The 27,289-nt window shown below is 50.6% G+C and overlaps 2 protein-coding genes across 3 annotated transcripts in view, besides 3 other annotated features; one reads left to right on the forward strand and one right to left on the reverse strand.

Annotated features, from left to right (window-relative positions):
- MACROH2A2 (macroH2A.2 histone) overlaps positions 1-2,265 on the forward strand; it is a 59,437-nt gene extending 57,172 nt beyond the window's left edge. The window contains exon 9 of the mRNA NM_018649.3: positions 1,501-2,265. Within this exon, the coding sequence (NP_061119.1) occupies positions 1,501-1,666 (166 nt within the window). The 3' untranslated portion in view covers positions 1,667-2,265. The remainder of the gene's footprint in view (positions 1-1,500) is intronic.
- Positions 2,254-22,808, reverse strand: AIFM2 (AIF family member 2). Of its 2 annotated transcripts, none has more exons than NM_032797.6 (9): positions 22,717-22,808; positions 13,890-14,080; positions 13,388-13,503; positions 11,075-11,194; positions 10,490-10,582; positions 7,795-7,903; positions 6,605-6,757; positions 4,903-5,103; positions 2,254-4,312 (listed from the first exon to the last, which is right to left on the reverse strand). In NM_032797.6, exons 2-9 carry the CDS (start codon positions 14,065-14,067, stop codon positions 4,161-4,163), a joined length of 1,122 nt encoding a protein of 373 aa, NP_116186.1. In that variant the 5' UTR covers positions 14,068-14,080; positions 22,717-22,808; the 3' UTR covers positions 2,254-4,160. The 2 variants fall into 2 exon arrangements, with proteins under 2 accessions (NP_116186.1, NP_001185625.1); NM_001198696.2 differs by having other exon boundaries at positions 13,890-14,083.
- Positions 22,599-23,099: an enhancer, noted in NCBI's record as "H3K27ac hESC enhancer chr10:71892372-71892872 (GRCh37/hg19 assembly coordinates)". NCBI's record gives its function as "activates a minimal SCP1, AML or CMV promoter by ChIP-STARR-seq in primed H9 embryonic stem cells {active_cell/tissue: H9 hESC(primed)}" and the evidence as "EXISTENCE:reporter gene assay evidence [ECO:0000049][PMID:30033119]".
- Positions 22,621-22,830: a silencer, noted in NCBI's record as "fragment chr10:71892394-71892603 (GRCh37/hg19 assembly coordinates)". NCBI's record gives its function as "represses an EF-1alpha promoter that drives an FKBP-Casp9 reporter gene in an ReSE screen in HepG2 liver carcinoma cells {active_cell/tissue: HepG2}" and the evidence as "EXISTENCE:reporter gene assay evidence [ECO:0000049][PMID:32094911]".
- Positions 22,663-22,982: a silencer, noted in NCBI's record as "silent region_2439". NCBI's record gives its function as "represses an Ori minimal core promoter by ATAC-STARR-seq in GM12878 lymphoblastoid cells {active_cell/tissue: GM12878}" and the evidence as "EXISTENCE:reporter gene assay evidence [ECO:0000049][PMID:35858748]".

Below are 27,289 nucleotides of genomic sequence, written 5' to 3' on the forward strand. Positions count from 1 at the left end.
GAGACCTAGGTTCCTGCTGTAATCACACATCAACCTAGGCAAGCAGCATTGAGTCTCAGCATTCCAGGCCCAGAGATGCTGTGAGATGCATTCTTTCGTCGGTGGAACCACGGCAGTGCTGTTCTGTGCTGGAATACATGCGATTGGGAAGAATTCCTATTAACAGGCCCCTCCTGGACCTGCTCCAGGGGTCTCTGTGGCTGACCCCTAACGACCATTCTGGCTGTGTCCCTGGAAGCTGGTGCTGTGGCCCAGCCTGGTGGATGGCACTATCAGTAGCTCCCTGGAACCTGGGGCCTTTAACAAACTTTCATTAACCCCGCCATGCCCGGAGTCACAATGCTGAAATTACATGGGCCTGTGCCTATGAAATATTAAGTGCATAAAAAAGGACTTACGAAGACAGGTTTGGAGCATACATTTTTGCCCTTTACTAAGCAATTGGGTTAGTATATAAACCAGTTTGGAGGGAGCTAATAAAACTTCTGTTTGCTTGTTTGAAGACCAGGTATTTTTAATGCTGAATGGCTAGCATTTTTAAAGCCAAGCTTGACTTGGTCAGGTGACATAGAATCAAATATAGGGAGCTGGCACGGTGGCTCACGCCTGTAAATCCAAAAGCTTTAGGAGGCTGAGGCAGGAGGATCATTTGAGGCCAGGAGTTCGAGACCAGCCTGGGCAACATAACAAGACCCATCTCTACAAAAAATTTAAAAAAAAAAATTTTTTTATAGGCACACGCCTTTAGTCCCAGCTACTGAGGAGGCTGAGGCAGAAGACAGATAGCTTGAGCCCAGAGGTTTGAAGCTGCAGTGAGCTATGATCACACCACTGCACTCTAGCCTGAGTGATGGAGCAAGACTTTGCCTCTGAAAAAAAAACTAATTTAAAAAAAGTATAATAAAAAATAAAATACAGGGCACTCTTCACTTGGCCAGCCCTGTGACCTTGACTAAAATCATTGTGCTTGGCAGGGCACGGTGGCTCACACCTGTAATCCCAGCACTTTGGGAGGCCGAGGCAGGCGGATCACCTGAGGTCAGGAGTTCAAGACCAGCCTAGCCAACATGGTGAAACCCCGTCTCTACTAAAAATACAAAAATTAGCCAGGCATGATGGTGCGCACTTGTAGTCCCAGCTGCTTGGGATGCTGAGGCAGGAGAATCGCTTGAACCCGGGAGGTGGAGGTTGCAGTGAGCTGAGATCGCGCCACTGCACTCCAGCCTGGGCAACAGAGAGAGACTCCATCCCAAAACAAATAAATTAATTTAATCAAATTAAATCATTGTGCCTCTCCGAGTCAGTGTGACACCTATAAAGTGGGGGCAACATGCCCCACCTGCCACCCCCAGGCTGTCCCTTTGGCTAGGGTCAAAGGAGATCATGCATGGACTAGCCCTGCACACAGCAAGGCCCCACCCAGTAAAAACAAAGGCACTTCATGCTCCCATGGGTCCCAGGGACCAAAATGACATCGGCTCTTCTTTTGCTTTGGCACAGAAACTGCTTTCCCAAACAGACTGCGGCCCAGGTGACCCTCAAAGCCATCTCAGCCCACTTTGATGACTCGAGCGCGTCCTCGCTGAAGAACGTGTACTTCCTGCTCTTCGACAGCGAGAGCATCGGCATCTACGTGCAGGAGATGGCCAAGCTCGACGCCAAGTAGCCGCCGCACTTTCCAGCAGGGATCGGAGGACGACCCGAGTCCCAAGAGTGGGGTTTTGCTTTTTAAAAGGAGAGAGGAGGGGTGATGGCAGGGGAGTGGAGGGTGGCCGGGCAGGTCCTGCCGGCGCAGGGAGCCCTCTGCCCTTCACACTCTCCTCCAAAAGAGCCTCCATCTGTAAGGAAGCAGGTCTCCGCGAGGGGTTTCTTTCCATGTGTTTTCCTCCTGTTGTTTTAGAACTTTTTTAAAAAAACAGACCTCGTTTTAGATTTATAGCATTGACTTTTACACACATTCACACAAGAAAAAAATCCTTTCAAAATTCTTAAATCTTCTGTTCCTCCTTTTTCCAAGGGAAGAGGGCAAAAAGTGGCCTGGGCTCTGTTGGTGTGCGTGTTCCGTGGCGGAGAGAAGAAAATGGGAAAGACATCTCACTGGTGCTTTTCTCTTTTGTTTTAGTGCCCCCCGCCCCCATCCCTATAATATCTGTAACTACTCCTAAAAAGGTTTTGATTCAGGCTTTTTTTTGGTTTCATTTTGTTTTTTTAAGAAAAAGAAAATGAAAGGAAAAAAATAAAAGATCCAGTGTCTTTCTTACAACATATTCTTTTATTGCAACATTTTCCTCAGTTTGGAAAACTGTGTCCCCACACGTAGGTCCTTCTAGAATATTGTAAGTCAATAGAAGAAGGCCTGTCGCTCACACACTGGGATTCCCACCTCGCTGGACCCCAGGTCAGATAGCACCAGGGCCTGTGTTTCTTAGGCCGAAGGTCCTGCCTCCAGGAAGGTGGGCTTCCCTTCGTGGTCCATAAAGAAAGACAGATACTTGGATGCAACCACCAGGGGAACAGCCATCCTCCAATAGAGGCACACGACTCACTTAGGCCTGGGCGACAGCCCCAACGGGATGGCCTGAGAACCCCAGAGAGGCTGGTGTCCCAAGGACTCTGCCCGAGTACCCAGAGGCCACCATCAAAAGGGAGCAGGGAGGGGCAGGGTGGGGAGGTGGGGCCTGAATTTCTTCAGATGAACTCATCAACCACTTCTGCTATGCAGATTTAACCCAGGCAGTCCAAGAGGGGCTCCTCTGGATTGGAAGATCTCTCCCAAATAGAGGAATCATTTATACACTGTAACATAGTCGGTGGCAGACATTAGTGCCCAGCTGGGCCTCCAGACAAGTGACCCTGGGGTTGGCCAGGAAACCAGAAGCACAAAACCACAAAGTCCCTCAAGGGCCCTCTCCCCATTCCCAGCATCAGCTGGAGTTTTGTCACTTACAAATCTGCCCATAAGTAACCTAGAAATATGCTGGGGGTCACCCGCAGAAACCCCCTCTGCTCGCTAATGGGTAAGCAGATGGCACCCCGCAAAGAGTCACATTATCTGCCCTTCCTTAAACACCTCCAATGGCTGGCAGGCCAGGCTGCAGTCTCAACCCCTGCTAGCCGTGTAAAAATGCACTCTGTCAGGGTGGGGTAACCAGAAGAGCACATTTATCTAGCTCTTTCTTCTTAAATGAAACCTGTGGTATGGAGTAGGATCTAAAAGTGGAAATGTGCTGGCCGCAGTGGCTCACGCCTGGAATCCCAGCACTTCGAGAGGCCAAGACGAATGGATCACCTGAGGTCAGGTGTTCGAGACCAGCCTGGCCAACACAGTGAAACCCCGTCTCTATTTAAAAAATACAAAAATTAGCCAGGCATGGTGGCACGTGCCTGTAGTCCCAGCTACTTGGGAGGCTAAGGCAAGAGAATCACGTGAACCCAGAAGGCGTAGGTTGCAGTGAGCTGAGATCGTGCCACTGCACTCCAGCCTGGGTGACAGGGCGAGACTGTCTCAAAAATAAATAAACAAACAAACAAATAAAGTGGAAATGTAGGAAGGCCATGAGGCTTAAGGAGCACAGGGATTATGCACCTGTTAGCAAATTGAAAACAAGGCTCCTGTGAAGTCCCTGGTTGTTGCAGAATGTATGGGCTCCCCGACCGTGTGATGGCAGAGATTTGGGGTGCTGGGCCTCTCTCCACCTCAGGTCCCTCCTTTGTTCTCAATGTGCAGCTCTCCTTCCTGCCCTCACAGACAGACACTGGCCACCAGAGCCCAGCAATCTGCCCTGCTCTGAGAGCTCTAAATGGCACGCGTCATGACCACAAGCACGTACACACACATGCACATCCCAGAGGAGGCAGGTGCAGAGGAAGGGCTGGCTGTGGCCTCCCCAGCACCATGCAGCCAGCACACATGAGCCGCTCACCCAGTACCACAGCAAGCACACCTTCCAAACCCAGAAAGTATCCTCTAAGGGGGGTATTTGTTTAATACCTCTCTCTCTCCCATTTTTGTTTTATACAAGTTGCATTTCTAGCCACCACATCATTGGCATCTTATTCCAGAAGAATAGCATTAGTTCTAGCACTTGCCAGGCGGGTGCCATGCGCCAAGCAGTCCGTACGCCCACCTGCTGCGGTAGTTCTCCCGCCTGGCCTCTCCATCAAGGTGGAGACTGCCTCATGGTTTTCCAGCTCGTAGAGACGAACAGGTCCCGGCTCTTGGTCAGCCGAACCATGAGCCGGCCCACATAGAAGCCACTGATTTGGCCCACACCGTCATTTCTCCCCATGGACAGGAGGAACGTCAGTGCACCTGCAAGCAGAGACACAGAAACAACCAGAACCTCACTGAACCGCCTGGGGCTGCACCTCCCAGAGTGCCGATCCTTCCCGAGGCCTTCAGACTCAGGGCCGGAAATGTGAAATCGCTTTAGGAAGGTGGGTGAGACCCTGATTTTTTTTTGTTTGTTTTTTTGAGACAGAGTTTTGCTCTTGTTGCCCAGGCTGGAGTGCAATGGTGTGATCTTGGCTCGCTGCAACCTCCACCTCCTGGGTTCAAGCCATTCTCCTGCCTCAACCTCCCGAGTAGCTGGGATTACAGGCATGCACCACCACACCTGGCTAATTTTGTATTTTTAGTAGAGACGGGGTTTCTCCATGTTGGTCAGGCTGGTCTCGAACTCCCGACCTCAGGTGATCTGCCCGCCTCGGCCTCCCAAAGTGCTGGGGTTACAGGTGTGAGCCACCGCGCCCAGCCTATTTTTAAAGAGCTCTAAGGGGATGTTTCCATCACCAGCTTGGAGAGTTTGTTCTAGTGGCCAGGTATGGGATAGCCCAAAAAGGCTTCCCCATGTTTAACCCCAAACTCTATTAAAACTGCAAAGCACATGGGGCCTCTCTTACCCGGCTTGTAGGCCTGGAGAGGCCGCTGCTTCACAGAGTTGACGATGTTGGCCACGGCGATGTTGGCGTGGAGGCCGGCAAGATAGGCCATCTTGGGCGTCCTCACGTCGGCACAGTCACCAATGGCGTAGACGTTGCTGTGGCCCTCCACCTGGAGGTGCTCGTTCACTCTCAGAGCACCACTGCTGGCTAGTCTGCTCTCTGCCAGAAGAAATGACACCGAAACCAAGACACTGAGCTGCTGTGTTAAGTGGCCACCAGGAGGAGGAGAGGGCGAGCTCTAGACACTGGTCAATAGGTGCTGGTCAGGTCACCCTCCTGAGGCATGACCACCCCCTGGAGGTGCCTGCTCTAGAGGCCACCCTCCCACCTAATGTATTCCCCCCTGAAGTCTCTACCTCACAACTCTTCCTGCAGAGGCAAGGTTGCTGATGCCAGAGTGGAAATGGGTCAAAATACCAACAAGCCTCCTTTTAGAAATGTACATAACTCTCAACAAGTTACAATGATCAGCTGAGTCTTGAATTGACTTTTGAATGTAAGTGAGATTTTAAAAATAAATGCAGGCCAGGTGTGGTGGCTCATGCCTGTAATCCCAACTCTTTGGGAGGCCGAGGCGGCCAGATCACTTGAGGCCAGGAGCTCAAGACCAGTCTGACCAATATGGTGAAACCCATCTCTACTAAAAATAGAAAAATTAGCCGGGCTTAGTGGCATACAGCCGTAATCCCAGCTATTCGGGAGGCTGAGGCACAAGAGTCGCTTGAACCCAGGAGGTGGAGGTTGCAGTGAGCCAAGATCACGCCACTGCACTCCAGCCTGGATGACAGAGCAAGACTCTGTCTCAAAAAATAAAAATAAAAAACAAAACTGAAGCATTAAAAATAAATGCAGAGCTTTAATAAATGGCAAACTGCTTTTTTAAAGGGACTTTTAAAAACTTGTATTTGAAAATACAACATTAGGACAATTTGGTATTAAATTCTGGGATCTCTGTCCATTATAAGCCCTCAATCCCACTGCTACACACAGCCTGGACTGGCTTCCTTTTCCTGGGATTGGATCATTACTTCCTGCTGGACACAAGGCAGGAGCTCCTTGTCAGGGAAGGGCATTTGGGAGTAAATGACAGGGAATTGAGGACACAAAGCAACCACCAGGCCTGGCCACTGAGTCTCCTGCTCACAAATGGAGGCTTAAACACACATCAGTCCACCTCTGCCACCTCCAGCCAGCTAAATACGCAAATACTGAGCTTTAAGAAACGAGGCCATGTTACCAACCCCACTCCCCAGTCAATCCAAGCTCAAGAGACCAAATGTTTTGATCTGGGTTTGGGGGCGGCAGCACGCCTGCCAAGAGAGGAAGGCCTGACCCTGAATTTCCTCTGTCCTCAGGTGAGGGGGAAAGAAACACCACCAACCTTTGTCATCTCTCTGACGCCTGTTCCCATCTCTTACCACTAGGGGGCGGCCCTAATTTCAGAAGATTCTGGTCACCTTGGCCACCTGGGGCCGAGCCATGGTCACAGCTGAGGAGAGCTCAGCAAGGGTGGACCCTCACTGAATTTAAAGTCTGAGCTGTTGGGAAGAAAGGGGGAAGGCAGCAAGGTGTGGACTCCTGGGGGCAAGCACTGCAGGGCATTCAGAGGGTACTGGAGAGCAAGGAGGCACAGGGGAAGCCCGGCTGGGCACCTGCTCACCAAACGCTTTGCGGTAGGCGGAGCTGTTGATCTTGATGCCGGTGCAGAGAATCACCAGGTTGGTGGCCACCTCTGTGCCTTTGTCCGTCTGCACTTTGATGTACTCTCGATACTCATTGAGAGGCAGCTCCTCCAGATTGCTCACCCGCTCACCTAGAAGGGGGTTCATGACCAGGAGGCTGGTGGGGACAGGGACCCCATCAAGCCTGGACCCCAGGCCAAGGCTAACCCTGGGGAGGGCCTGGACCTCTGGGGCCCAACTGGGCAATGGCTGCACCCTGTCTTCCCACCATGCCCCTCCCTCAGTCCACTCTATGCCCCACAAAGCTGATCTGGACATCTGGCCCCGAGGGGTCCCTCTGGAGAAAAGTTCCAAGAAGCCCCTGGAGGGAAGCGAGGCTGTTTCCCAAGAAGTTCTCAGAAAAGCTGTTTAATGGAAGATCTCAGACGCGCCTCTTATGAGTGCCAGCCGTGCCATCCTAACTAGGCAGGACGAGCGCTCCAAGTGCACCACGACAAAGGGGAAAGCCAGAGAAAGAGAAGCCAGCTCGCTACACTCACTGCCTAAAGTGACAGTGACGGCAGCACTCCACAGCCAGTTACCAAAAGGAGGCTGAGGCAGCCATGCGGGCCCTTCACAGGACAGGTGCCTCACCCTCCCGCAAACAGTGAGGGGGCTGGGGCCCCATGCAGTGAAGTGTAGGGGCCACAGCGCTGGAAGAGAACCTCACTTTCCAGCATTTGCTGGGTGGGTCTCGTCCCCTGCTCTACAAGAAGGCCACACTCCTCACCACTCTCAAAACATAAACCAATAAACCTATTCCCTCAACCACAGAGACATCCTATTTGGGGCAAATCCTTCAGATGCACTCAAGAAAAATCATTCAGCAGACAGGCATCCCACCATCTGCACTGCATCCAAAGCAATAACCAGGACATGGAAATCCCGTAAGTACCAGGCCCTCTTCCCTGCCCAGGGACGGGCACAACTTCCAGCTGGACAAGGCTCAGATGGGCTTTGATGTTCACGGCCTCTTCTGAGCGCTTCATGCTCCACCCCAGGACACAGTGGAAAAGAGAGAGCCTGGGGTGGACCATAGCCACCCTCCTGCTGGAAGCAGTCACCAAGCCTCCAAGCCACATCTCACCAGGCCAGGGCAGGGCAGGGAGGGAGGTGAGGGTGCACGTACTCAGCAGCAGCTGCACGCCCTTCCGGAGGAGGATCTCCTTCACTTCCTGCCGGACGGAGGGCAGGAGCTCCTTGTCAGCCAGGGCCACTTGGGAGTGAATGAGAGTGACCTGAGGACAAAACGACCACAGGGCCTGAGAAGGAGCCCCCAAGTCTTCAAACACAATCATTGCACGAACGTCCACCTCCACTCATACCTCCAGGTTACAGATGAGGAAACTGAAGCTCCAGAGAAGTAATCTGTCCAATGCCAGGACCAATTAGTGGTGAGCTGGGCTTAAGCCCACATGTTCTAGACTAGGACTCTTTCAGTACCCTCCTGCCACACCCAGGCCAGAGGACTACCAATATGCCAACATGTCACAACCTACACCTCACCTAGGGCCACCTGGAAAATTATCTTCAAGCATCCTTGGGCACTTATAATTATACAAGCCATGGGCATTCCAACAGTCAATCAGACTGATGTCAACATTAAAGCTTGTTTAAAATTAGTGCTTCCAGGCATGTCTACTTGCTGTCTGGGACAACACAGGGAAGCGTCCCGGGCACCTCATGTTGCAATCATGTTCAAAGCCTGGGCTTTGGTATCAAATTGCCTGGGTTGAAATCCCATCTCTGATACTCACTTGGACACCTCCCAAAGGCTCATTAACATGGGCACAATAGCCCCACTCATAGGAATTTTGTAATGATGAGCAAAAAAATACGTACAAAGCATGTAACTCAGCACATATTAAGTCCTTAATAAAGGGTGGCTGCTACTACCCTTACTGTCTACAAATCCTAAACATGTGGATATTTTACTGAGTTACTTGAACTTTTTTACTACTTCAGACTGGTCTGACCCCTGTGAAATAAGAAGAAAAGTATATATTGGTCTCTGCCCCCAGTTCCTGATGCAGAGCTCTTAAAACCCTTGTAAATTGGGGTACTAAGAATCATTTGTTCTAATATTTGGTCCTCATTGCCGGTTCTTGATACAGAGCTCCTGAGATCTTTGTAATGTCCTGAGTGATGGGAGGGTCTGACATAGAGCTCCTAACTCCTTGGATGTTCCCGGGTGATGGGAGCATCTTTTGTTCTAATGAAGCTACTCCTGATGGGCTCCTGGATGATCGCTGGTCACCAGAGAGACCAAGCCAGCTTAGAAGTCTGGAACTTTCAGCTCCAGTGACGAGAGGGGGCTGGAGATTGAGGTCATAATCAACCTTGCCTACCTGATGAAGCCTCCATAAAAATCCCTAAAGTACAGGGTTCAGAGAGCTTCCAGGTTGGTGAACATGTCCACATGCCAGGACAGTGATGCACCCCAACTCCATGGGGACAGAAGCCCCTGTGCTCAGGACCCTTCTAGACCACGCCCTATGTGCCCCTTCATCTGAATGTTCATTTTTATCCTTTAAAACATCCTTCGTCATAAATCAGCAACAGCAAGTAAACTGTCTCCCTGGCTTCCATCAGCTGCTCTAGCAAATTATTTAACCCAAGGAGAGAGTCATGAGAATCTCTATCTTGTAGCCAAGTGGGACAGAAGCGTGGGTAAGCTGGGGACCTATGGACTTGCAACTGGTGTTTGAAGTCGGGGCAGGATCGTGGGACTGAGCCCTTGACCTGTGGGGTCTGCGCTAACGCCAGGTAGTGTCAGAATTGAATTGAACCGTAGGACACCCAGCTGGTGTCAGAGAATTGGTCAGTGGGGGAAAAACCCACACATCTTATCCCAGAAGTGTGGAGTGAGTAGGGAGAAAAACAGTTTGGTTTTTCCCTATAGAACCCTCATACATCAAAATGAATGAATGTAACTAGATCAATCACTCATCATAATTTCCAACAATTTGTCAGAGAACAGCCATATAATTAAGTTATCCTCTATTGATTTTTCTTTTCAAAACCAACCTGCCTTTCCCTGAGGAAGAAAGATCCATTCAGAGGCCCCACATGGCTCTCAGAAGCCGATCTGGCTTCAACCGCAAGCAAGCTCTCGCCTAGAGGACCTGTAAGGACGTTTCTCACTCAGCCCTTGCCAAGCCTGGACAGGGTGCCAGGATTTCCTCTTTCTCGCTAGGTTGCCCGGTAGGATCTCTGTCTTTTGAGCATGAGAAAGCAACAGGGCAGGCTGATGTCCCCTCCCCGTTCCCACCCATGGGCAGAAGGCAGTGCTGTTCAGTCATTGCCCAGCGTGGGCAGAAAGGGCTCTGCTGCAGGCTCCCCACCACCATGGGGCTGCTCAGAGCAGGGGCTACCATATCAGGCAGAGACCAAAGCAACAACTGAAGGTGTCTTTGTCCAAGCTGGTTGCCAGCAAGAGGTAATCAAATACTGGTTGCCAGCAAGAGGTAATCAAATATACATTTGTATCACAAAGGCCTGAATTCTGAAGGTGACACAGAAGTTCCGCTTTTGCAAGGTATTGCCCCTGGGCTTGATCCTCCAAGTTGGAGCAGAGGGCAGGACCTTTCCTTGAGAAAGGACACACCCTGAGCAGCTCCGTAAGGTCAGGTGCAGCAGGATCCCAGCTCTGCAGGAAAAATCCCCTATAGAATCACACCTTGGCACAAAACAGAAATACACACTCCCAGTTTATGTGAATAGAGCTCCAGACTTCTCTGCCCTGAGCAAATTCCTGATGTTCCTAAGATAATGCAGAAAAAAGCCAACCACTTAGAGCTCCAAGGCAAGGCAGCCTGGCTCACCTCTTTCTCAGGATATTCTGTTTTAATCTCTGCTGCCATCTCCACTCCAGCCGAGCCTCCTCCCACCACCACGATGAACCGTGAGCGCTGGACCTGGAGAAGAGGACATGTGAAACAGGGACATATGAAACACACCTACACATCCACCTCTGTCTGCTGGTTCAGCCTGTGGTGTGGCTCCCTGGGCCAAAGGAGGGCAGAGAACCCTTTCCACATTTTGAGTCCAAACGTGCTTCCTCCCACCCACCTCGCAGAATTGCTGTGGAAGATTGTGGATCTAAGCCTGCTCTACAAAACAGAGCCTTATGAAAACAGGAGTGGAAGGGACCCGTGAAAAGCCCCAGGAGAGGAAAGTCAGAGACATACCAAGGGCAACATGAGCAGGTTTAGGGTGCTCACATCCTGGCTCCAGCAGCAAGTTCAAGGTCTCTTCCCAGGAAAGTCTCTTCCTAGTGACTCTCCAACTCTATGGCTACAGCCAGCAGCTCTGAGTAACCCCGTGGCCTCCCAGCTGCAGGCCTAGGCATCCCCAAGGCTGTCCTTCCATCTGCCCACACTGCCCCATGCCTTCAGTGCACAGCTCACCTGCCTCACCATGTCCTCATAGGCCTGGATAGCGGCCTGCTGGCTGGAAACCTCATTAAACTTGCCCGGGAAGGGCCCAGTGCTGCCCGTGGCCAGGATAAGATGAGAGAAGGGCAGGGCCTGAGAGAAACCAAAAAAAAAAAAAAAAAAAAAAAAAAAAAGATGAGGGTAGGGCAGGGCAGGGCAGGCCTAGGCCTCTGCATCCTACTCCCGGCCTGCCAGCCGGGACAAACCAGGCAAAGAGGCCCCTCTAGGCACCCGAGGCAGCCCCCATGGGAGGGGGTGAAACCACCACACTGGTTAGCCCAAAGGATGGCACTAGAACCTGGGGAAAGACCTAAGGAAGTAGAGTTTACCTCCGCGTGGAGAATGTGGGGGCAACTGGAGCCACCCAGCATGGCAGTGGGAGGGGTGCCTGGAAGCAGGAGGCAGGGCTGCAGGATAGGACACTGCCCACGGGAGTTAGCTCAGAACCTCCCGGGTGTTTTAGAAGAACCCTCCTCCTGCCTCCGCCAGGAAGAAAAGAAAGGGAAAGAAAGAAAGACTGATCAGTAGTGGCATCACATCTGTGAACAGCCACTGCACTGAGCAACATACCAAGACCCCATATTAATTTAATTTTTAAATTAAAAATAAATAATAAAATAATTTAATTTTTATTAAATATTTTATTAAAAAATAATTTAATTTTTTTAAATTAAAAATAAAAAAAATTTTAGGCCGGGCACAGTGGCTCACACCTGTAATCCCAGCACTTTGGGAGACCAAGGCGGGCGGATCACCTGAGGTCAGGAGTTTGAAACCAACCTGATCAACATGGCAAAATCCCATCTCTACTAAAAATACAAAAATTAGCTGGGCGTGGTGCCATGCGCCTGTAATCCCAACTACTCAGGAGGCTGGGGCAGGAGGATCGCTTGAACCTGGGAGGCAGAGGTTGTGGTGACCCGAGACCATGCCATTGCACTCCAGCCTGGGCAACAAGAGCGAAACTCCATCTCAAAAACAATTAAAAAAATTTTTTTTTAATTAAAAAAATTGTAAACAAAGAAAAGGAAATCTTGTTTGGAGCCTAAATATATAAAGTTGACAAAAACAGAGCTGCTCCAATGGGAGGGGCTGGAGGGCCTGGACTCCACTCAGCCCCTACTTTCCCCTGAACCTCCAAGATGCCCTCATGGAATCTTCCAGGGCTCTGAAACGCATGGCTGGAGACTGCAGGACCAGGGGACACTCAGTAATCTTTCCAACCAGGAAACTATCTGGCCCCATTAATTCAAGAAGGGCTGGGTCACACGAAATCACAACTCATCAAGGAAAGGAATTGTGTTTCCTTTTGTCAACGCCCCCTTAGCTTCAAACACCAAATGGGGCTGGGCTGGACATGACACTCATCCAGAGCTGGTGGCAGCTTATCGATGGAGCTGAAGTCATGGCAGGTGTGTTCCAGGCTCCATGATGCACATGTGAGGTGGGGGAACACACAAATGAGTGAAGGGAAACCTCTGCCCCAGTGACGTCCCGATCCGGGGGATGTGGGACCATGCGTGTGCCTTTTTGTTCTAGACAGAGCCGAGGGCTGGCCAGGCCTGGGAGTTGTCTGGGACGCTGGCTTTTAGAGCATGGGCTCTGGGCTAAAATTGCATGGGTTCAAATCCTAGTTCAGTCTCTTACCAGCTGTGGGATCTTAAGCAAGCCATTTAACCCTTTAGCTTCTCTGTAAAATGAAGTTATACCACCTTCGCCATAGAGGCACGGTAAACATTCATGAGACTTACGTAAAGGCTACAAACAGGGCCTGGCATGCAGGAATTACACAAGAAATATCTGCCACCATATTCTTGTGGTTGCTGTGGTCAAGCCTTTGTTTATGAGGAATCCGCTATCTGCCCAGCACCAGGCAGGGCTTGGGGCTCACAGACAGCATTCTCTTTTTTTTATTTTTATTTTTTGAGATGGAGTCTCTGTCTGTCACCCAGACTGGAGTGCAGTGGTGCAATCTCAGCTTACTGGAACTTCCACCTCCGAATTCAAGCAATTCTCCAGCCTCCTGAGTAGCTGAGATTACATGCGCCCACCACCACACCCAGCTAATTTTTGTATTTTCAGTAGAGACAGGGTTTTGCCATGTTGGGCAGGCTGGTCTCAAACTCCTGACCTCAGGTGATCCGCCCGCCTTGGCCTCCCACAGTGCTGAGATTACAGGTGTGAGCCACCGCCCCCAGCCTAGCTCTCTCTTGACCCTGGAGGATCCCGCCCAGGCCCTGCAGAGGGCCCTTGAGCCAGCTGGCAGCCGGGCTGGCCCTCACTCACCTCGCCACCCTGCAGCAGCACCATCTGGTTCTTCAGGTCTATCCCCACTACTAGCCCCTGCCGGAAGTTGTCCTTGAAAGTCACCGAGTAAGAAATGAATGTCTTTTTGGCGAACCCTGGGGAAGGGACACAGAAGAGGTCATAGGGCAGAGCCAGGCTGCCCACGGGAAGCCAGAGTGACTCAGAACCTTTCACGAGCTGCAAACCAACAGGGGTGCCCTTGACCAAAGCGTCGGGCCATTAGGTATGCCTGGGGTACCCCTACTTCCTAAAATGCCAATCTGGGCCTCAGACCGTCAGAAAAGCTCAAGCTTTTACTTCTAGGGTCTCATTGTGGTGGCTACTTAAGACCAAAGACCTTGAGCTTCTCCAGAACTTGTCTGACAGTGGAATGCAGGCACTTGGCCCTAAATGGAGAAAACCACCCCCAGCCCTAAAATCAAGCCCCAGAGCAGAGACAAGACCCCCCTCACAGAGACAGCCCCAGACGGGAGCACATTACCTGTCTCCACGGAGGCTCGGAGAGCAGCCACATTGTGGTGGAAGGAGTCCTTCATGTCCACCAGCATGAAGGGGACGTTCAGGGCCTGCAGCTGGCTGGCTGCTGCGATCCCGCCAAAGCCCCCACCCACAATCACCACGTGCAGAGCTCCCGATTCCACCGAGACCTGGGACCCCATCTCAAATCAGGCACTGCTGGGAAGAAAGAGGAGAGCATATCAGAGTCAGGGAGGCTGGGAGGGCTGGGAGGACCCACAGTGAGAGAGGCCTCGATCATGAATTGACCTTTTTAGATGAGGTAAATCTTTGATTAATGAAACTCCAATTTTATAAAATTTGAATTAAATTCAGAAGGAACAAGGGGGTATCCCACTTCCAGCCCATTCCCCAAACACCAAGTTCCCTTCTCCAGAGGCATCCACTGTTACGTAACAAGTTTGGATGACTCCTTCCAGAGATAGTTTATGCAACTATAATCACGATTATTTTTTGCACCCATTAAACAAAGTGTTCTGCACATTTGTTTTTTACTTGATATATTCCATCAAAGACTTTTGGGAGAGATTGCAGTGGGGCAGGAGGAAAAAAAAGACTTTTGAAGAGGGGAATAATGTTCACTCAACAACATATATGAATTGAACTCCTGCTTTTTGACATGCTCTGTGTTGTGTATCCTGTGGTCAGACAGGCAGATATGGTCCCTGCCCTTATAAGGGCAGACCTTACAAAGTCAAAGAACCAGGTGGGCAATGTCAATGATGTGAGAAGCTGGGAAAAGGTGCAATAACAAGAAACAGTGGGCACACCTGTGGGGAACCAGCAAGCATAGGCCACATCTAAAGGAACAACAAAAAACATTCTTTAAGCACTGCACTAAACAAACACCGCAACCAGATTCAGCCCAGCTCACAGGTCACCAACTTAAGGTCCAGGTCTAAGGAGGTCAATTAGCAGGTTACGACAAGAATCCTGCAAAATTCTGCTTCTAGGGTTTGAATATGTCTCCCAAAAAGGAACAGTGTTAAGAGGTGGGGCCTAATCGGAGGTGTTTGGGTCATACGGTCTCCACCCTCATGAATGGATTAATACCAATTATAAAAGGGCTTTGAGGCTGCAAGTTCAAGCTCTTCCTCTCTCTCGCTCTCTCTTTTGCCTTCCACCATGGGATGACTCAGCATGAAGGCCCTCACCAGACACTGGGCCCTTGATCTTGGACTTCCCAGCCTCCAGAACCATGAGCCAATACATTTCTGTTCATTATAATTACCTAGTCTGTAGTATTCTGCTGTAGCAGCAGAAAACAGACTAAGACAAATGTGGTGTGAACTAAGACTGTGATCATGGAGTAGGAAGGAGGGGCCACAACCATATGCTACAATGCCTGGCTAATTTTTTAATTACTTGTAGAGATGGGGCTGGGTGTAGCAGCTCACGCCTGTAATCCCAGCACTTTGGGAGGCTGAGGAAGGAGGATCTTTTGAGCCCAGGAGTTCCAGACCAGCCTGGGTAACATAGAGAGACTCTGTCTCTACAAAAAAAAAAAAAAAAAAAAAAAAAAAAAAAAAAGCCAGGCGTGGTGATGGGCACCTATAGGCCCCGCTAATTGGGAGGCCGAGGTGGGAGGATCACTTGAGCCAGGGAGGTCAAGGCTGCAGTGAGCCGTAACTATGCCACTGCACACCAGCCTGGGCCACAGAGTGAGACCCCATCTCAAAAAAATAAAACAATAAAAATAATAAATATTGGTAGAGATGGGGGTCTCCTTTTGTTGCCCAGGCTGGTCTCAAACTCCTGGGCTCAAGTGATCCTCCCACCTCAACCTCCCAAAGTGCTGGGATTACAGGCATGAACCACTGCACCCAGTCCCCATTTCTTTGTATGACCTCAAGATGGTATATAAGCTTCTGTACCTCTTTTGGGGGTCGGGTCTTCCTTCTGAAGGCTCCTGTGTATACACACATTAAATAAATTTATATTTTTATATTTGTATAAAGTTGCCTTTTATCCAACTCAACAGCCTTGGGCCCTACAGCAGCAAAGTTGCCTGGGCTCCCCAAGCCAGCCTGGAAGGCTGGTAAACAGGGTTACCTGTGCATCCCAGAGTCTGCCCCAGACAGAGGAGGGCCCAGGGGCTGGCCTGGGGCTGCACCAGAGGCCTTGCCTCCAGCCCAGCAGAACCCCAAATTAGGATGCTTGCAGTGTGGGCCTCAGGCAGGCAGAGGGCTGCTGGTGTGGGAGGAGCCGCACAGCCCATTGAGGGGCACTCTTGACTGCAGCTGAGACCCTGAGAGGTGACAAGCAATCAACCCTCCTCCTGGCCTGTGCTGAGCCCTAAAGAGAGGCAGAAATAAGCCAGGCTGCTGGGGGGAGATGCTGAGAAAAAGAAACAAAACTCACACTATACAGAAAGCAGCCCCAGAGGCTCAACAGCTGCTGTGGGCTTCAGGAAGGGGGACTGGAGCGGGTGTCAGCGAAGGAGGAAGTAGACTCTGAGGTCAACCTTGAAGGATAGACATCAAGCCACTGAACAGCCTCATAAGGAAGTGTGTTCCAGCTCATCTGGGACCCTCAGGCCGCTGGAAGGCCACTGCACTGCCCTGATCATCTTTGCGGGTCTGGGGCACAACCCCTTCCCTCTCTAGGCCTCAATTTACCCCCTATAATGGGAGGGGACTATAAGGCCCAACCAGCTATAATATCCTGAGCTGTCCTCGTACACACTGGTTTCCAAGACATGGTGGTGGTTCCCCAAGACGGTCCCCAAATCATCCCACACTTATGGGGCAGCTTTTGGTTAGAACTCCGGGCACTGTTCCCATTGGTGTTCAAATGCCCACTGCCTAACTTCTCCCCTGGGGGCGGACAGTAGAGCGGACGGAGGGCACTGACACAATGGATTGGAGGGAATTTAAAGTTGTTTCTCGTGGGTCAAATGGTCCCCAAAGCATTGAGGCTTGAACATACCCATTTCACAGATGAGGAGGCTGAGCCCTCGTAGAGATTAGGACCCAAGACAACCCCCCGGCAGGCAGGGCCACCCTGGCTCCTCTAAGCCCTCAGAAGGGTTGTCTAGAGCTAATCCCAAGCGTACCTCAGGCTGAATCTGCCAACTGGGCCAGAAGGGAATGTCTCCTAGGGACCAGGACCCAGGAGGGCCCACAGGCCCAGCCAGAGGTAGCAGTGCACACCAGGAGCTGCGCAGGGCCTGAGAATGTAGGCAGTGATGAGGCAGGCCGTGGGTGGCGTGTGTTTCACCAGCCCCTGGCAGCGTGCAACCCTCTGTGCTGGGTCTTACCCTTGGGGCTGTCAGCCAGGGATGAGGTCAAGAAAACACCCAGAAAGCCCCACTTCCAAGTTAGCTGGGCATGGCCCCTGAGAGGGGCTACGCAGCTGGCCGGGGATAGGGACAGGGGAGTCCACTGTGCGTCAGGTCACACTGGAGCACCCAGGGACACTCAAAAAGGACAGCCTAGAGCCCTGAAAAAGAGCTGAGATCAGGGGGCCTTCCTAGCAGAGGAAACAACTTGGGCCAGAGGCCCAGTGGCAGGAAGGGAGGAGGCAGGTAGAGTTCAGGGCACCTGTGGCAGAAGGTGGAGAGGCTTAGAGGACAGGTGACAGGGGCCGACAGACAGACAGCCTGCCATGCCAGGGCAGCTTTGACAATCAGGTGGACATACAAGCCTGCTCCGGGCCCTTCATGGGGTTTCCTCCAGGGAAAGAAAGTCTAGTGACCCCAGAGTGGACCTCAGGGGCAATGAGTTGACCAAAGGAGCCAAGCCCTTGACCCCCAGGCCCCTAGTATCATCAACCTGCTTCCCCGAAAGGGCAAACTCTTGCCTCACCCAAGGAAGGCAAATTGCTTATCTGGGGTTCCCTGTGAAGGGCCTGGGGCCTGAGGGGACACCCAGACCAGAGCAGGGCCAGGGAGGGGAGGCACTTTTCCTCTTCAGGCTGCCTGAGGCCTCTCCTGCAATCTGCTCTCTCTCTCTTCTCTCTCCTCTACTGACCCCTGCCACGCTTACTTGTGGAATAGGGAGGCCAGTGACTCTCCAGCAGATTTCACCCTGCCTCTTTGGCAGCCCCTTGCCCAATACTCTTGGACATGCCGACTCTCTTTGGCTCTGCCAGTGTCGGTTCTTGCCTGGCCCCAGAAAACAGTGAACTCCCCTCTGCTTGGCCATGATCTACTTGGCCAGACACCTAAAGCAAGGGCTTAAGCCATGGAGCTGCATTTCCAGCCACACACCCTGTAGGAGATGAAAATGCACGTATGGAATTAGTGGATGCCCAGTTGTATGTTCTAACATAGCAGTAGTGCTGTGCAAACCTCCACCTGTGTGACACTCCATCAATCAATGGAAACTGCCACCAATGAGAGGCTACAGGATAAAATATTATAAACCCATACAATGCAGTACTGTGTAGCCAGTTGTTTTTAAAGGGTGAGTGATGTTTTGTTTTGTTTTTGAGATGGAGTCTCACTCTATTGCACAGGCTGGAGTACAGTGGCTCAATTTCAGCTCACTGACTGCAACATCTGCCTCCTGAGTTCAAGCAATTCTCCTGCCTCAGCCTCCCAGGTAGCTGGAACTACAGGCATGTGCCATCATGCCCGGCTAATTGTTTTTTGTATTTTTAGTAGAGTCAGGGTTTCGCCGTGTCGGCCAGGCTGGTCTCGAACTCCTGACCTCAAGTGATCGGCCTGCCTCGACCTCCCAAAGTGCTGGGATTATAGGTGCGAGCCACTGTGCCCAGCCTGTGAATGACGTTTTTATACAAAAAGTCTGTCCATGAAAAAGTCAGGCAAGGGCTGGGTGTGGTGGCTCCTGCCTATAATCCTAGCACTTCAGGAGGCAAAGGCAGGAGGACTGCTTGAGCCCAGGAGTTTGAGGCTGCAGTGAGTAACTTTACCTTTGCTCCCTCCCACAACACACACACACAAAGACACACATACACAATCTGATTTACACAAAACATGTTTTCAAGGTTCATCCAAGTTGTAGCATGGATCAGTGCTTCATACCACTGCACTTCGGCCTGGGCAACAATGTGAGACCCTGTCTCAAAAGTAAAAAAAAGAAAAGAAAAAGTCAGGCAATATTTATTTATTTATTTACTTATTTTTAATTTTCTTAGGGACAGGGTCTTGCTCTATCACCCAGGCCAGAATGCAGTGGCATGATCATAACTCATTATAACCTTGAACTCCTGAGCTGGCTAATTTTTTTTTTTTTTTTTGTAGAGATGAGGGTCTCACTATGTTGCCTAGGCTGATCTTGAACTCCTAGCCCCTCAAGGGATCCTCCTGCCTTAGCCTCCCGAAGCACTGGAATTACAGGGGTAAGCCACTGTGATTTCGAGCTGTAGAAAAGATTCAATGAGATCATTTACGTAAAGCATTTTAGCATGGTGCCTGGCACAGAGTAGCAATGAATACACAGCAGCCACGTTTTATATATATATATATAAAATATATGTTGCAGATTAGTTTGCCCAGTCCCAAAAAGTCAGGCCACAGAACCACATGAAAGATCTAATCCCATTTATGGCCAATAAGACACATCCACCTCGGTATGTATACACATATACAGGTAATGATTACAGCAGTTAGCATCTGTTGCACTTTTGCCCATATCTTCGATTTAAGGTATGAGTTTTTTCTCCTTATTTTGGAAAAAAGTTCAACAACTTGCCCAAGTTCAATTCTCAACACATCAAACCTGCTGTCTGAACCAAAGTGCTAATAGTGGTCATAGATAATGTTTTCATTTTCTTCCTTAAGCTTTTGTATTGTTTGAATTTTTTTCAAACAAGCATATGTCATTTTTGCAGAAATAATGTCTTTAATAATAGGACAGACCGCTTACCATCTAATTTTTTAATCAAAATAGAATTCACATATACAATTTACCACTTAAGATGTAAGTTCACAGTGAGCTATGATTGCACCACTGCACTCCAGCCTAGATGAGACCCCATCTTTTAAAAAAAAAAAATGAGATGTAGGCTGACTCACACCTCTAATCCCAACACTTTGGGAGGCCAATGCAGGCAGATTGCTTGAGCTCCGGAGTTCCAGACCAGCCTGGGCAATATGGTGAAACCCCATCTCTACAAAAAATACAAAAATTAGCCAGGCATGGTGGCACATGCCTGTGGTCCCTGATATCAGGAGGCTGAGGTGGGAGGATCGCTTGAGCCTAGGAGGTCGAGGTTGCAGTGAGGCATGATCATGCCACTGCACTCTAGCCTGGGCGCCAGAGCAAGACTCTGTCTCAAAAAAAAATTTTTTTTAATTTAAATTTCAAAAAAAGATGTAAGTTCAGTGGGTTTTAGTGTATTCACCAGGTTGTGCAACCATCACAACTATCTAATTCCAGAACACTTCCATCACCCCCAAAATAAATCCTGTACCCCACCTACCCTAGCCCTGGGTAGCTACTAATGTTCTTTCTGTCTCTATAGATTTGTCTGTTCTAGACAATTCATGTAGATGGAATTATACACTATGTGGCTTTTTGTTTGCGACGTCTTCCACTGATCATCATGTTTTCAAGGTTCATCCGAGTTGTAGCATGTTATCAGTGCTTCATTCCTTTTCCTGGCTGAAAAACAGTCCATTACTGGTGTATGAATAGACCACATTTTGTTTATCCACTCATCAGCTGACGGGCACTTGGGTTGTTTCCACCTTTTGACTATGTGAATAACGCCACTATGAACATTTGTGTACAGGTTTTTGTGTGAACCAGTCTTCAGTCCTCTTTAGTATATATTTAGGTATGGAATTGCTGGGTCATATGGTAACTTGAAGTTTAACTTTTTGAGGAACTGCTAAATCCACCATCTGATTTTGAACTGAACACCAAAGCCCCAGTGGGAATCACAGAGAATCTTAACTATGTCTGTCTAGGTTCAAGAATGTTAGCTTAAAAGAAGGCCTAAGAGAGCGGAACAAACCCTGATTGTCCAGGAACCCCTCAGTAACTTTACCTTTGCTCCCTGCCACAACACACATACACACAGACACACACACACACAATCTGATTTACACAAAAATTTGCTCAGTCAATCCTGTTTTCTCTGCCAAGAGCATCCACCCTGATCTCAAGGGTATTATTCCACAATAAGCAGCCCATAGGACTACTGAAAAACCAGGAAGTTACATTTATGCCAAAGCTGTTCAGAGGTTGTGCCTCAGAAGACACACAGCAGGAACCGTGTGGGCTCTGATCAAAGCAAGAATGTCATCCCAGAGTTGCTCCAGTATTGCTTCACAAATATTACAAATAAAACACGATGCTTTTTGAGTCGTCATGGCTCACACAAAGGGTAGGTTTCAACATCAGCCTCTGGAGAGCCACATTCCCAGAGTGGCCGTCCCGGATAAGAAGGCCACTACAGCACGACTCACAGCACCATGGAGGTTTCCTCCACCTGCGGGACACAGCAGGATGGAGACGGTTGGGCGGCCTCCCTTCCTGGGACACTCCATGGCCAGCCCCTCAGGGACTACTTGAAGAACAGAACCCCCAAAAGACCAGTTTCTGAAAAGGGACTCAAAGTCTAAGGGAGGCAGCCTCCTTTTATCCCCAGGGGAGGGCAGCTCTGGGGCAGACAGGTTCATCTGGATGTCATATTCACTCCCGCACAGAAAACCTAGGCCAAGCAATTTGTCCATCCTCCTCAGAGCCAGTTTTGTGGTCCCCATGGTCTGCCCACCACCTGTACCTGGACGCTGGCTTCATTTGGCCACCAGACAAAAGTCAGGCTGGCCCTGGAGTCCACCGGCCTGCCCAGCCCATCACTTCTGGGCTAGGTAGTGCTAAGCCTGCCCAGCCCACCCTGGCTGGGGCTCAGTGCCCTCTTCTTGGTGACACACTGTGCTCCTTGGAGAACTCCTCTCTAGGTGCTGGGGTGAGGGCAGGTGTGATCTGAGATCCCGGGGCTCTCTGGCAGGTGCATGCACGCACACTGGAACCTGATACAGGCTTTTGAACACAGGTGCACAGTCCAGAAACCTGCAAGTCCCATCCCAAACTATATCTGACTCTCTGCCCTATGCCTGTCCTCCTACAGGATCATCAGCCCCCAAGAGACCTCACCACTCCCCATCCTCACCTTAAATTCCAGGGTCAAAAAGACTCTCCTTGTAGGGAAAGGTAGGGTGTGTTGATCAGGTGGTGTTGGAAGGAGAGCCCCAATATAGGCCACTAATTCAGTTCCAGGTGGACTGCACGCGTCCCATCAGAGTTAGTTTACTCACCGCTGGTCTTTGTCCCTGCAGCACCCAGGGCTTCGGGAAGGGAGAAGCAGACTTCCTAGTGCTGCACCCCCCAGCTCCCCCGAGCCTATGGGCACTGGGTTGACTCCAGTTTCTTTCCTCTTAGAGACTGAGGTTTCTCCCTTTCCTCTCACACCTGCTTCTGTCCGGACCGGCCGCTTCTACCCAGCGGACCCTCGGACGGTCCTCGCAAGATCCGGGTTACACCCGCCCCGTGTTCCCTCTTCCCCGGTTCGCCCTTCCCGGCCTAAGCCCATCTTCCTTAGGAAAACTTAGCAGGGATTTAGGGGCCAAACCAGGAGGGTGGAGTTTTCTTTGCCCTCGGCCAGGAGCACATCTCCCTGTTGCGTTTTTTGGGGGAGACAGAGAGGGGCGGGCCTGAGTCGAGTATCCCTCTCCTCGCAGCGCCACAACTGCGCGCACCGACCTCCCCACGCCAGACGCGGCGTGAGCCAGGCCTCTAATCCGCTCGCCCCTCTTCCGGGTCCCGGTCCCGCCCGGGGCGCCCGGGGTCTCGAGAGCCCGCCTGGCGGCGCGATCTCACCTGTCGGCCGCGCCCGCGCGCTCTCGCTCCGGCTCCCGCTCCCGCTCCCGCTCCCGCTTGGTCGTCTTCCCGAGTTACTGACCCGAGGCGCTCCCGGGCGGGGCGTGACTCAGCACTCGTGCTGGTCCCCGACCCCGCGGCAACGCCCCGGCCAGGCCCCGGAAACGGTCCTGGCACGCTGGGGCTGGTCTCCGAACGGCCCGCCGGACTAACCTTGACCCTGAGCGAACGGCCTTGAACTTTGAAACAAATGCTCCCATGGCCAGATGTCGCCTCTCCGGCTCCTGCCAGCACCCGCGCCCCAGTCCTGCCGAGCCATTCAGACTTGGTTTAAAGTGTCCTTTCAGCATACTTTAAAGCAAAAAAGAGAGAGAGAGAGAGAGAGAGAGAGAGAGAGAGAGAGAGAGAGAGAGAGAGAGAGAGAAGGAAGGAAGGAAAACAAGCATCCCCCTGTTCCTCTGATTTTCTCGAGGACACCTTTAAAGCCACTGGAACCTTGGAGAGTGGGGTTCCCCTCACACGTTGGGCGCACTGCCAACATCCTTCCTTCAGACATACACATAATAATTCCGCAAACCCTGTTGAGCTCCTACATTTGCCAGGCACTGTGCTAGGCGTTGGAGGGATAACTTGGAGAGAAAACTGACAAGGTTCCTGCTTTCACGGAGGCGACAGTCTGGGAAAAGACAGATATTAAACACACCACCAAAAAATACATGTATAGAGAAAACAAAAACCATGTATCACCAACTGCAGTAAGAAAGATTGGGCATGGCCAGGCACGGTGGCTCATGCCTACAGTCCCAGCACTTAGGGAGGCCAAGGCGGGAGGATCGTTTGAGCCCAGGAGTTGGAGACCAGCCTGGGCAACATAGCGAGACCTACAAAAATTAGCCGGGCTTGTTGGTGCACACCTGTAGTCCCAGCTTCTCGGGAAGCTGAGGTGGGAGGATTGCTTGAGCCCAGGAGTTTGAGGCTACAGTGAACCATGATCATTCCACTGCACTCCAGCCTAGGTGACTGTGAGATTCTGTCTCAAAAAAAAAATAATAATAATAATAATAATAAATGAAATGAAATGAAAAAATAAAAAAGAAAGACTGAGGGCAAAGGAAGGGTGCAAATACTTCTCTCCAAGGATGAGAAAGAGGTAGATTTAGGTAAAGAGGAAGGAAGTGTGGTCTGGATGTGCAAAGACCCACAGGCAGGACAATGACCTGGAAGGCAGTGTATTGCCAGCTCAAATCAGACCAAGCTAACTCAGCGAAAGATAAGCCATCTCCATCTACTTACTGCAAATATTAGCACCTACTTTAAGAGTTGTGGATAAGGGCCAGGCACGGTGGCTCACGTCTGTAATCCGAGCACTTTGGGAGGCCGAGGTGGGTGGATCACCTGAGGTCAGGAGTTCGAGACCAGCCTGGCAAACATGGTAAAACACTGTCTCTACAAAAAATTAGCCTGGCATGGTGGCACATGCCTGTAGTCCCAACTACTCAGGAGGCTGAGGCAGGAGATTCACTTGAACCAGGAAGGCAGAGGTTGCAGTGAGCGGAGGTCATGCCATTGCACTCCAGCCTGGGCAACAAGAGCGAAACTCCATCTCTAAAAAAAGAAAAAAAGAGTTGTGGAAAGGCCTCAATGAGATCATTTTTATAAAGTGTTTTAACATGGTGCCTGGCACACAGTAGCAATGAATACACAGCAGCCATTTATTATAGATATTTTATATTGCAGATTATTTTGCCCAAGGCAACCAGAATGATTTATTTTTGATGAAAAATCCTACTCATCGTCTTAGAAAAACAATAAGCTAATATTTATTGATCACGAACTAAGTGCTTTGAATGACTTCTCAAGTTTTTTTGTTTGTTTTTGTTTTTTTCACAAAGGTCCTGCAAGGTAAGTTTTATTAATCTCCATTTTGCAGATAAGGAAATTTAGGCTCCTAGAGGCTAAAGAATTTAGGCAAGGTCCCTCAGCTAGTAAAGCAAGGGGGTGGGCCTACAATGGAGGTCTGAACCATGACCCCTTTTTGGGGGGTAGGGGGACGAATCTGGCTCTGTCGCTTAGGCTGGAGTGCAGTGGCATGCTCTCGGCTCACTGAAGCCTCCACCTTCCAGGCTCAAGCGATTCTCATGCCTCAGCCTCCCAAGCAGCTGGAATTACAGGCACCTGCCACCACACCCGGCTATAGTAGAAACGGGGTTTCACCATGTTGGCCAGGCTAGTCTCAAACTCCTGGCCTCAAGTGATCTGCCCACCTCGGCCTCCCAAAGTGCTGGGATTACAGGTGTGAGCCACTGAGCCCAGCCTGAACCATGACCTTAAAGCCAGGAAACCCCTCAGCAAGCATCATCCCTAAGGAGCCAGAGGGCACTGCTCAGGCAAAGCAGAATCTCAGTTGTGGGGAATTTACTGGGCATGTACCCAGTAAGATGTGACACAGAGAGGTGAACAGAGAGGCTACAGCCTGCCCACTGCACGGAATCAGCCCTGAGGCTTGGGATGGTCATGGAAGGCTTTGTGTAGAAGGTAGGCGTGCAAGGATGAAGGGGATGCCAGCTGGCAGGATGCAAGGAAAGGACTCCAGAAAGAGCAGGACAAAGATAAAGCTGGAAGAGAGGCGAGAGAGGTGTGAGGTGGCCCAACACTGGGCTCAGGTGTGCCAGGGCTGGTGTGGCCCATCTCTAAGGACCTGTCCCAAACCATGAAAAACTTTTTTTTTTTCCTTAAGACCTGCTACAAAGCAACAAACCATGAAAATCAAGGAATTTTTCTGATTATCACTCAATACTTTCTTGGCAACCAGAAGACACCTCCATCCAGGAGAGGGGACATGGTCTCATGCAACCCCTCCAGGTAGCTCACTGCACACCACTCCTCTGGTCCCACTCAGCAGTGCCCATAGCTTTGGAACTGAAAATCAGGGCTCGCTGCCTAAAAAAGGGGTTTTGTCTCTGAAATTCCAAGTGCCAGAGGTAGCAGGAAAGTGCGGTGGTTAGGATCCTGAAAAAGTGGCAAGTTCATTCCATGGAACTTTGACGGTTAGTGGGGAGAGCAGGCAGATTGTCTAACATGACGGAATCTAAGAGGAGGAAGCGTTGCTGGCTCTCTGCTGTAATGAGCTCAGCCAGGCCTGTGGGTACTTCCTTACAGACAACAGGTGGCTTTTCTGCTGGCTCCCAGGGCTGGAGGAGCTCCAAGGTACTGGGTCATCTCAGGAGCCCAGAGAAACAGAGGCAGTATGCCCACTCGAAGAACAGGCAACTCTTAGATCTGAAGAGCCTGGTAAATGTTCTCCTTTTCCATACGTAGTTCCAACGAAATTTGTAAGCTTCAAAGAAGAGAGGAATATCCTCGTTTCTTCCTCTCTCCCCCAACACATGATTTGGTATAGTGTTCCCAGCTAGGGAGAGGCTATATTAATGAAGGTAAGTTCTGCTGCAATGACCAATAGATTCCAAATGTAATGGCTCAAATACAACAGAAGTGCACTTCTTGCTAGGGCATGAGTTCCAGGCCAGTGGACTGGTTTATGAGGCTGTCTCCCTTCACACAGGCATCCAGGGACCAGGCTAACAGGACATGGCAAGTGAGTGCCACTCATGGTCCCAAATTAGATCTTTGTTTTTCTTTTTTAGAAACAGGGTCTCCCTCTGTCACCCAGGCTGGAGTGCAGTGGCATGATCATAGCTCACTGCAGCCTCGAACTCCCATGCTCAAGCCATCCTCCTGCCTCAGCCTCCCAAGTAGCTGGGACCACAGGTGTGCACCACCATACCTGGCTAATTTGTGTGTGTGTGTGTGTGTGTGTGTGTGTGTGTGTGTGTGTTTGAAGAAACAGGGTCTTGCTATGTTGCCTAGGCTGGTCTCAAACTCCTGGGTTCAAGCCTCCCAAAGTGCTGGGATTACATGCGTGAGATACAGCACCTGGTCTCAAATTAGGGAGCTCATCAGTTCTACCTCCTGTGTTGTCACTTGATCTCACCACCACCAGTCCTGCCTCAGCCATCTTCTCTCTCACCAAGCCACTGTAACTGGTCCCTGGGCCTGTCTTGCACTTTTCCAATTTTCTCTCCACAAGGAAGCTGTGCCACACTTCCTTGTCCCAGCTCCTGCCACTCTCAGCCTGGAACACTCTGTTTCCAGTCCACTTGGTAAACTCTGAACTCTCTTTTCATGGTTCAGAGCCTGAATCACCTTGAAGCCTTACCTAACCCACCCCTTCTGGGCCCCCAGACATACTCTTCCCTGGACAGAGCTTCCCTGCTTATTGCACTAATGGGCTGACACATCAGTCTCCCCAGAGTAGCCTGTGGGTGCCTTGATGCCTGTATTAGTCCGTTTTCACGCTGCTGATAAAGACATACCTGAGACTGGGATGAAAAAGAGAATTAATGGACTTACAGTTCCACATGGCTAGGGAGGCCTCCCAATCATGGCGGAAGGCAAGGAGGAGCAGATCACGTCTTACATGGATGGCGGCAAGCAAAGAAAGAGAGGGCTGGTGCAGGGAAACTCCCACTTTTAAAACCATCAGATCAGTGAGACTTATTACGGTCACAAGAAC

The sequence above is a fragment of the Homo sapiens genome, chromosome 10 (assembly GCF_000001405.40).
Source record: "Homo sapiens chromosome 10, GRCh38.p14 Primary Assembly".
Lineage (NCBI taxonomy): Eukaryota > Metazoa > Chordata > Mammalia > Primates > Hominidae > Homo > Homo sapiens.

What these genes read in the sequence shown, in the direction of transcription:
- AIFM2 (NM_032797.6), bottom strand. Translation starts at nt 14,067, where the DNA reads ATGGGGTCCCAGGTCTCGGTGGAATCGGGAGCTCTGCACGTGGTGATT. An exon ending in CAGAATATCCTGAGAAAGAG is followed by an intron (nt 7,904 to 10,489) that starts GTGAGCCAGGCT and finishes TTTTGTCCTCAG; the next exon opens with GTCACTCTCATTCACTCCCA. An exon ending in GGGCGTGCAGCTGCTGCTGA is followed by an intron (nt 6,758 to 7,794) that starts GTACGTGCACCC and finishes ACCCCCTTCTAG; the next exon opens with GTGAGCGGGTGAGCAATCTG.